The sequence below is a fragment of the Homo sapiens genome, chromosome 6 (assembly GCF_000001405.40).
Source record: "Homo sapiens chromosome 6, GRCh38.p14 Primary Assembly".
Taxonomy (NCBI): domain Eukaryota; kingdom Metazoa; phylum Chordata; class Mammalia; order Primates; family Hominidae; genus Homo; species Homo sapiens.
In genome coordinates, this window is record NC_000006.12 from 69408317 (window position 1) to 69419361 (window position 11045).

The window sequence follows — 11045 nt, forward strand, 5'->3', positions numbered from 1 at the left end:
GAAAAAGTGAAGGCTATCACTGAAGCAGCCATCAAAGGCCATGAAACTAAATGCTAAGAATAATGGAGCAGCAAGAGAGAATGTGCCTTCATCCCAGATGACTATGGAGCTACCATGAGTCCTCACTCATGACTGGACTTCCTTCATTTATGAGAACTGTAAATGTCCAGCTAGTTTAAACCATTGTTTTGATGGGCTTCTAGTATATGAAACTAAACCTAGTCCTGAACAACTTAAGGTTGTGACCATGGAAGAAATTACAACAGAGGTAAAATCCAGTTGAGACTTTAAGAGTGAGGAGGGGTAATGGAGAACAGCAGCTTTAAAGAATAATGTTATAATAGAACATTAAATAAAATAGATTCAGGATTATCAATTAAGATGGCAGAGACGAGGCAGGACTAGCTTGCAGCTCTCACTCGGATGGACAGAGCAGCAAGTGGAGACTCACATTGTGAACTTTTGCTCCAAGAACTACTGCATGAACATATCAGGAAAGCCAAGAGAATCCACAGAACCTTTGAAGAAACTGGATCAATGCTGTAGGCTCCCTGAGATGCCACGAAACTGTGAGTCTGCTTGATTTCTCAGTGGGGGGGCTTGTGGTCTGGGGCAAGTTCTCAATCCTGGTCGCCAGTTGCCTGCAAATAGACTTGGTGCTGTTGGGGGAACAAAATGGGAGTGAAATCAGTGTTTAGGACTACGGGCTATGTGAGAGCAGGGTGAGGCCTGTGACTGCCAGCTTTCCTCCACTTCCCTGGCGACCCATATGACTCAGCAGAGGCAGTCATAATCCCCCTGGGAACATAGCATAACTCCATTGGCCTGGGAACCACACCCCCATCCCCCACAGCAGTCACAGCAAGTCCTGCCTGCCAAAGGAGAATCTGAGCTCAGACACACACCTATCCTTACCCTCACCTGATGGTCTTTCTCCACCTGCCCTGGTAGTCAAAGACAAAGGTCATAATCTCTTGGGAGCTCTATGGCCCTGCCCAATGCCTGAGAAACCTGATTACTTAAGTGGGTGTCCTTAGGGCAAGTTCACATCCTTCCTATACTACAGCAGCTCATGCGTTCTTGAAAGTGCCACCTCCTCGCTGGAGGCCAACCAACACAAAACCAGTGCACAACACAAAAATATAATCAAGGACCCTTACAGAGTCCATTTCACCCCCCTGGTACCTCCAGAGCAGGTGCTGGTATCCACAGCTGAAAGACCTGAAGACAGATCACATCACAGGACTCTTTGCAGACACTACCCAGTAGCAACCTTGATCCCAGTAGCTCTGGCAGGTGACTAGACCCAGAAAAGCAAAAACAATCAGTGCAGTTCAGCTCTCAGGAAGCACCATTCCTAAAGGAAGGGGGAAAATATCACATCAAGGGAGCACTGTGTGGGACAAAAATTCTAAACAGCAGCCCTTGAGTCCCAGATCTTTCCTCTGACATAGTCTACCCAAATGAGAAGGAATCAGAAAACCAATTCTGATAACATGACAAAACAAGGTTCTTTAACACCCCCAAAAGATCACACCAGCTCACCAGCAATGAATCCAAACCAAAATGAAATTTCTCGGTTGCCAGAAACAGAATTCAGAAGGTCATTTATTAAACTAATCAGGGAGGCATCAGAGACAGATGAAGTCCAATTTAAAGAAATAAAAAACATGATTCAAGATATGAAGGGAAAAATCTTCAGTGAAATAGATGCATAAATAAAAAACAATCATAACTTCTGGAAATCAAAGGCACACTAAGAGAAATGAAAAATGCACTGGAAAGTCCCAGCAATAGAATTGAACAAGCAGAAGAAAGAACTTCAGAGCCCAAAGACAAAGCTTTCAAATTAGCCTAATCCATCAAAAATGAAGAAAAAATATAATAAAAAATGAACAAAGCCTCTAAGAAGTTTGGGACTATGTTAAGTGTCCAAACCTAAGAATAATTGGTGTTCCTTAGAAAGAAGAGAAATTTAGAAGTTTGAAAAACTTTTAAAATTTTTCAAGGAAAGCTCCCTGAGCCTTGCTAGGGATCTAGTCATTCAAATACAAGAAGCTCAAAGAACACCTGGGAAATTCATTGCAAAAAATCATCACCTAGGCATATAGTCATCAGGTTATCTAAAGTCAAGATAAAGGAAAGAATCTTAAGAGCTGTGGGGCAAAAGCATTGGGTAACCTATAAAGGAAAACTTATCAGATTAAGAGCAGATTTTTTAGCAGAAACCCTACAAGCTAGAAGGTATTGGTGTCCTATTTTTAGCCTCCTTAAACAAAACAATTATCAGCCAAGAATGTTGTATCCAGCAAAACTAAGCTTCAGGAATGGAGGAAGGATACAGTCTTTTCCAGACAAACAAATGCTGAAAGAATTCACCACTGCCAAGCCAGCATTACAAGAACTGCTAAAAGGAGCTCTAAACCTTGAAACAAATCCTTGAAATACATCAAAATAGAACCTCCTTAAAGCATAAAGCATAAATCTCACAGGATCTATGTAACAATAACACAATTTTTAAAAAAAGGTATTCGGACAACAAATAGCATGATGACTAGAATAGTATCTCACATCTAAATGCTAACATTGAATGTAAATGCCCTAAATGCTCTGCTTAAAATATACATAATGGCAGAATGGATAAGAATTTACAAACCAAGTTTCTGCTGTCTTTGGGAGACTCACCTAACACATAAGGACTCACATAAACTTAAGGAAAATGAATGGAAAAAGATATTCCATGCAAATGGAAACAAAAAGCAAGCAGGAGTAGCTGTTCTTAAATGTGACAAATCAAACATTAAAGCAACAACAGTTTAAAAAGACAAAGAGGGACATTATATAATGACAAAAGGACTAGTCCAACAGGAAAACATCACAATCCTAAATATATATTCACCTAACATTGAAGCTTCCAAATTTAGAAAATAATTACTAGTAGACTTAATAAATGAGATAGACAGCAACACAATGATAGTGAGAGACTTTACTATTCCACTGACAGCACTGTCATCAAGACATAAAGTCAAAAAAGAAACAATGGACATAAACTACACCCTACAACAAATGAACTTAACAGATATTTACGGAACATTCTACCCAACAACTACAGAATACACATTCTATTCATCAGCACATGGAACATTCTCCAAGATAGTTCATATGACAGGCCACAAAACTATTCTCAGTAAATTTTAGAAAATTGAAATTATATCAACTACCCTCTCAGACCACAGTGGAATAAAATTGGAAATCAACTGCAAAAGAACCCTCAAACCATGCAAATACAAGGAAATTAAATAACTTGCTCCTGAGTGATCACTGGGCCAATGATGAAATCAAGCTGGAAATTGAAAAGTTCTTTGAACTGAGTGATAATAGTGACACAATCTATTGAAACCTCTGGGATGCAGCAAAAGTGGTACTAAGAGGTAAGTTCATAGCATTAAGTGCCTATTTCAAAAAGTCTGGATAAGCACAAATAGACAATCTAAGGTCACACTTCATGGAACTGGAGAAACAAGAACAATTCAAACCCGAACCCAGCAGAAGAAAACAAATAATGAAGATCAGAACAGAATTAAATGAAATTGAAACAAAAAAAGTCTCAAAAGATAAATGACACAGTAAGCTGGTCCTTTGAAAAGATTTATAAATTTTTTTGGCAAAAAATGCCAAAAATTTTCTCCCATTTTGTAGGTTGCCTGTTCACTCTGATGGTAATTTCTTTTGCTGTGCAGAAGCTCTTTAGTTTAATTAGATCCCATTTGTCAATTTTGGCTTTTGTTGCCATTGCTTTTGGTGTTTTAGACCTGAAGTCCTTGCCCACGCCTATGTCCTGAATGGTAATGCCTAGGTTTTCTTCTAGGGTTTTTATGGTTTTAGGTCTAAAGTTTAAGTCTTTAATCCATCTTGAATTAATTTTTGTATAAGGTGTAAGGAAGGGATCCAGTTTCAGTTTTCTACATATGGCTAGCCAGTTTTCCCAGCACCATTTATTAAATAGGGAATCCTTTCCCCATTGCTTGTTTTTGTCAGGTTTGTCAAAGATCAGATAGTTGTAGATATGTGGCGTTATTTCTGAGGGCTCTGTTCTGTTCCATTGATCTATATCTCCGTTTTGGTACCAGTACCATGCTGTTTTGGTTACTGTAGCCTTGTAGTATAGTTTGAAGTCAGGTAGCATGATGCCTCCAGCTTTGTTCTTTTGGCTTATGATTGACTTGGCCATGCAGGCTCTTTTTTGGTTCCATATGAGCTTTAAAGTAGTTTTTTCCAATTCTGTGAAGAAAGTCACTGGTAGCTTGATGGGGATGGCATTGAATCTATAAATTACCTTGGGCAGTATGGCCATTTTCACAATATTGATTCTTCCTATCCATGAGCATGGTTCTGACAAAGGGCTAATATCCAGAATCTACAATGAACTCAAACAAATTTACAAGAAAAAAAAGAACAACCCCATCAAAAAGTGGACAAAGGACATGAACAGACACTTCTCAAAAGAAGATATTTATGCAGCCAACAAACACATGAAAAAATGCTCATCATCACTGGCCATCAGAGAAATGCAAATCAAAACCACAATGAGATACCATCTCACACCAGTTAGAATGGCAATCATTAAAAAGTCAGGAAGCAACAGGTGCTGGAGAGGATGTGGAGAAATAGGAAGACTTTTACACTGTTCGTGGGACTGTAAACTAGTTCGACCATTGTGGAAGTCAGTGTGGCGATTCCTCTGGGATCTAGAACTAGAAATACCATTTGACCCAGCCATCCCATTACTGGGTATATACCCAGAGGACTATAAATCATGCTGCTATAAAGACACATGCACACGTATGTTTATTGCGGCACTATTCACAATAGCAAAGACTTGGAACCAACCCAAATGTCGAACAATGATAGACTGGATTAAGAAAATATGGCACATATACACCATGGAATACTATGCAGCCATAAAAAATGATGAGTTCATGTCCTTTGTAGGGACGTGGATGAAATTGGAAATCATCATTCTCAGTAAACTATTGCAAGGACAAAAAACCAAACACCGCATATTCTCACTCATAGGTGGGAATTGAACAATGAGAACATATGGACACAGGAAGGGGAACATCACACTCTGGGGACTGTTGTGGGGTGGGGGGAGGGGGGAGGGATAGCATTAGGAGATATACCTAATGCTAAATGATGAGTTAATGGGTGCAGCACACCAGCATGGCACATGTATACATATGTAATAACCTACACTTTGTGCACATGTACCCTAAAACTTAAAGTATAATCATAATAAAATTAAATTAAATTAAAAAAATACAAGTCCAGGACCAGATGGATTCACAACTGAATTCTATCAGACATTCAAAGAAGAATTGGGACTAATCCTATTAGTACTATTCCAAAAGATAGAGAAAGAAGGAATCCTCCCTAAATCATTCTAAGAAACTGGTATCACCCTAATACCAAAATCAGGGAAGGAATTAACAACAACAACAAAAGCTACAGACCAATGTCCCTAATTAACATAGATGCAAAATTCCTCAACAAAATACTAGCGACCCTAATTCAACAGCATATCAAAAAGATAATCCAAAATGATCAAGTGGGTTTCACACCAGGGATGCAGGGATGGTTTAACACACATAAGTCAATAAATGTATTACATCACCTAAACAGAATTAAAAAGAAAATTCACATGACCATTGCAATATATGCAGAAAAAGCATTTGACAAAATCCAGCATCGCTTTATGATTAAAACCCTCAGCGGCTGGGTACAATGGCTCAAGCCTATAATCCCAGCACTTTGGAGGCTGAGGCGAGCAGATCACAAGGTCAGGAGATTGAAACCATCCTGGCTAACATGGTGAAACCCTGTCTCTACTAAAAATACAAAAAATTAGCCAGGCATGGTGGCAGGTGCCTGTAGTCCCAGCTACTTGGGAGGCTGAGGCAGGAGAATGGTGTGAACCCAGGAGGCAGAACTTGCAGTGAGCCAAGATCTCTCCACTGTACTCCAGTCTGGATGACAGAGCAAGACTCTGTCTCAAAAAAAAAAAAAAAAAAAAAAAACCCTCAGCAAAATCAGCATAGAAGGGACATAGCTTAAGGTAATAAAAGCCATCTCTGACAAACCCACAGCCAACATTTTACTGAATGGGGAGAAGCTGAAAGCATTCCCCCTGAGAACTGGAACAAGACAAGGATGCCCGCTTTCACTACTTCTATTCAACATAGTACTGGAAGCCCTAGCCAGAGCAATCAGACAAGAGAAAGAAATGAAGGGCATCCAAATCATTAAAGAAGAAGTCAAACTGTCAGTGTTTGCTGATAATATGATCAAATACCTAGAAAACCCTAAAGACTCATCCAAAAACCTTCCAGAACTGGTAAATGAATTCTGCAAAGTTTCAAGTTACAAAATTAATGTACAAAAATCAGCAGCTTGCGACATACCAACAGCAACCGAGTAGAGAATCAAATCAAGAACCCAACCCCTTTTACAATAGCTACAAAAAATAAAATAAAATACCTAGGAATATACCTAACCAAGGAGGTGAAAGACTTCTACAAGGAAAAACTACAAAACACTGCTGAAAGAAACCATAAACAACACAAACAAATGGAAACATATCCCATGCTCACGAATGGGTAGAATCAATATTGTAAAAATGATTATACTGCCAAATGCAATATAAAAGTTCAATGTAATTCCCATCAAAATACCACCATCATTCTTCACAGAACTAGAGAAAACAGTCCTAAAATTCATATGGAACCTAAAAAGAGCCCACATAGCCAAAGCAAGACTAAGCGAAAAAAACAAATCTAGAGGCATCATATTACCTGACTTCAAACTATACTACAAGGCCATAGTCACCAAAACATCATGGTACTGGTATAAAAATAAGCATATAGACCAATGGAACAAAATAGGGAACTCAGAGATAAAGCCAAATACTTACAGCCAACTGATCTTTGACAAAGCAAACAAAAGCATAAAGTGGGAAAGGACACGCTATTCAACAAATAGTGCTGGGATAATTGGCAAGTCACACGTAGAAGAATGAAACTGGATCCTCATCTCTCACCTTATACAAAAATCAACTCAAGATTAATCAAATGCTTAAATCTAAGACCTGAAACCATAAAAATTTTATAAGATAACATCAGAAAAACCCTTCTAGACTGTGGCTTAGGCAAAGACTTCATGACTGAGAGCCCAAAGCAAGTAGGAGAAAAACAAAGACACATAGATGGGACTTAATTAAACTTAAAAGCTTCTGCACAGCAAAAGAAATAATCAGCAGGGTTAACAGACAGCTCACAGAGTGGGAGAAAATCTTCACAATCTATACAGCAGACAAAGAACTAATATCCAGAATCTACAAATAACTCAATCAGATCACAAGAAAAAAACAAACAATCCCATAAAAAAGTGGGCTAAGGATATGAATAGTCAATTCTCAGAAGAAGATATGCAAATGGCCAATAAGCATATGGAAAATTGCTCAACATCACTAATATCAGGGAAATGCAAATCAAAACCACAATATGATACCAGCTTACTCCTGCAAGAATGGCCATAATCAAAAAAATTAAAAAAAAAGATGTTGTAAAAAGGGAACACATATACATTGTCAGTAGGAATGTAAACTAGTACAACCACTAAGGAAAACTGTGTGGAGATTCCTTAAAGAACTGAGAGTTATGTACCATTTGATCCACCAATCCCATTACTAGGTGTCTACCCAGAGGAAAAGAAGTCATTATAAGAAAAAGATACTTACACATGCATGTTTATAGCAGCACAATTGGCAATTGCAAAAATGTAGGATGAGCCCAAATGCCCATCAATCTATGAGTGAATAAAGAAAATGTGATATAGATATAGATATAGATATATATACACCATGAAATACTACTCAGCCATAAAATGGAACAAAATAGTGGCATTTGCAGCAAACTGGGTGGAATTTGAGGCTATTATTCTAAGTGAAGTGACCCAGGAATGGAAAACCAAACATCATATATTCTCACTCATAAGTGGGAGCTAAGCTATAAGGATGCAAAGGCATAAGAATGATATATCGCACTTTGGGGACTTAGGGGAAAGGGTGTGGGGGGGTGTGAGAGAAAAAAGACTACACAATGGGTACAGTGTATACTGCTTGGGTGATGGGGGCACCAAAATCTCAGAAATTAAAAAAAAAGTAAATAAATAACTAAAATAGATTCAAAGCATTACTCCATTTACTATAAAATTAATCAAATTTGGGGTGTTAAATTTAATATAGGTAGATGAAATAACTTTTGTGTTACATGTCCTTTTTTATTTGTTTTCCATAAAATTTAAGAACTTCTCATTTTCCCTAATATTTCCTGTTTCAAAGAACAGAGTTAAGATAGCTTCTGAGGTTAGTAAGAAAATTCAGAATTTAGATTTCAGAAGAAGTGAGGTGAGAAGATGGCGATAGACTACCCAGTCCTGTAGTTGGACAGAAGCCTCAAGGAACACATGAATGGTGCTTAGAAATATTGAGGAACACACAGAAGTGAACTCAGAGCCTTTCTGTGTAGTCACTGAGGAATAACAGAGTCTGGGAGATGTGCCAGGGGTGAAATGGGCAAATGTCCCAGAAATTCTAGAAACTATAGATCAGTGAGCTTAACCTCCATCTCCAGTAGAATTCTGGAATGTATTACTAAATAAATGGTTTTACGAGCATTTTAGAAAAAAAAAAGGTGGTGGGGAGAGAGAATGGAATTGATTCCCCTCAAGGACCAGAGTAGAATGCAGTAATTCCTTCTTACTCTCATCTGCCAGTTCTCTTCCATGTGTAGTTTTGTTTACCAGGATTCAATCATCAAGTCTCTCTCTACTGGTTGTACATGTCCTCATTAGGCTATCACATATACATTCATGGTTTTATCTACCACTATTCATGGGTAGCCAAAAAGACAAGTCAGTAAAATCCCAGAAGTACAAGAGATAATGAAATATTTTAATACAATCATGCAGGAAGCATTATAGTGTGCAAATATAAGACCAGTGGGGGTAATCATTTCTAATTTGGACACAAGTGGGAAGTTAATCTGCCCATGAAAAAGGGAGGGAATACTTTCTCAATTCTCTACTTAATATTCTTTAGCTCTTCTGTCTTTCCATCTCCCCTTGGGAGTGAATACAGAGCACACATTCAAGGGTAAAATGAAGAGAAAGTAGTAAGGTTGCAGGAGAAGGAAGACAGACCAGTCATATGGGAAAAGGAGCAATTCTAGGATTAAGTAATAACTGAGAGCACATGTTTAGTGCAAAGCTTTTGAAATAAAGAATCTGAATGCCACACTAATTCCCTGTTTTAAAATTGAAATTTGAGCAATTGCAGATGAATTTATGGACAGTACTTTCTGGCATAGGACAAAAACAGTATGGAATATAGAATACGACCAGTAGAAGCTGAGGAAAAGAAATAATTATCGTCACCACATCTGATTGAAGACTTTCACATTTCACAATAAAAAAAATCTGCATTTGTAAATGATTGCGCCCCACTGATTATTTTGCAGAAATGTTCCATGATTGGGTTGAACGAAATTGAATTTATTTCTTATTTCCTAGTGTAGGATCAGTTATCTTCAGGCATTCTTGTATTATCTTCCTAAAACCCCGAGGAAAGGTCCCTGTAGGTGTTGTTCTAAGTAGAGACATCTAGATAAGGTAGACCCCCCTCCTGATAACTGCAGTTAGGATCCTGCCACCAAGAGTGCATAAGCCAGGTTAACAGTACGATTTCCAGAATGCTACCTTCCAAAACTCATTCTGCTTCGCTTTGATAACTGTTATATCCATTCATAGATGTACCTCTTTCCCATCCTGAATTCCTGACTGCATTTATATCAGTCTACTACAAATTTCTCTCACAATGTCACAATGAACAGGATTGAAGGCCTTGTCTTCCCTAGCACCATTCTTTAACTTAGTCAGTGGTACCATCATCTCCACCCATCCCGTCTAATCAACCTGGATGCCTCAGTTGCCCAGCTTTCTTCTCTTATACCTCCTCCCTGCCATTTCCATCAGCCCCCAAGTCCTGTTAATACCACTTCCAAAATCCTCATGAATCAGTCAGTTCCATTATCTCCTTTCCCCCTGCCACTGTCCTAGTTCAGTCTCTTATCCATTCTTGTCTGCAGTTATCTTTTTTTTTTTTTTTTTGAGACAGAGTTTCGCTCTGTTGCCCAGCTGGAGTGCAGTGGTGCCATCTCGGCTCACTGCAAGCTCTGCCTCCCGGGTTCATGCCATTCTCCTGCCTCAGCCTCCCGAGTAGCTGGGACTACAGGCACCTGCCACCATGCCCAGCTAATTTTTTGTATTTTTAGTAGAGATGGGGTTTCACCGTGTTAGCCAGGATGGTCTCGATCTCCTGACCTTGTGATCCGCCCACCTCGGCCTCCCAAAGTTCTGGGATTACAGGCATGAGCCACCGCGCCCAGCCTGCAGTTATCTTTTTAAAACAAAAATCTAATTATTTCACAGCCATATTTTAGAAACCCCGTAGTTCTACTTTGCCTACTGGATGAAGCTCAGCTCTTATCCTGGAAGGAAAGTGAGATGAACAAAAGCAGTGACGAAGAGAAGGAAGTGGCATGGTTCAGAGGAGTGGTGGTCAGGAGGCTTGCCTGGACTGAAGAAGGCAGGAAATGCTCAGCCATGAGAGCCAAAATTGGCTACTCACAGAACTGATCTTCTTAGGGAGTCAACCTCACTGCTAGCTATAAACGTTGTAAAATCACCAACATCAATAATTCAAAAATAGTCAAGGCAATATAGAATGCCTTTGCTTAGCTTTCTTTGTTATCTCCTTCTGGTAATAATAATAATAATAATAATAATAATAATAATGTTTTTCTCAAGGGAAGAAGAGAATATACAGTTACCTAATGTCTACCAATCACTGTGCTGAGGCACATTAAAAAGAATTATCATAGTTAATTCCAAAGCAGTCCAACAATGCTGTTATTATTATCCCCAAGTTA

The 11045-nt window shown here is 38.7% G+C and overlaps 1 annotated feature.

The window, feature by feature from the left end:
- Positions 215–1414: an enhancer, noted in NCBI's record as "BRD4-independent group 4 enhancer chr6:70118423-70119622 (GRCh37/hg19 assembly coordinates)". NCBI's record gives its function as "activates an origin of replication core promoter dependent on BRD2, P300/CBP, MED14 and CDK7 cofactors, and independent of BRD4, by STARR-seq in HCT116 cells {active_cell/tissue: HCT116}" and the evidence as "EXISTENCE:reporter gene assay evidence [ECO:0000049][PMID:35650434]".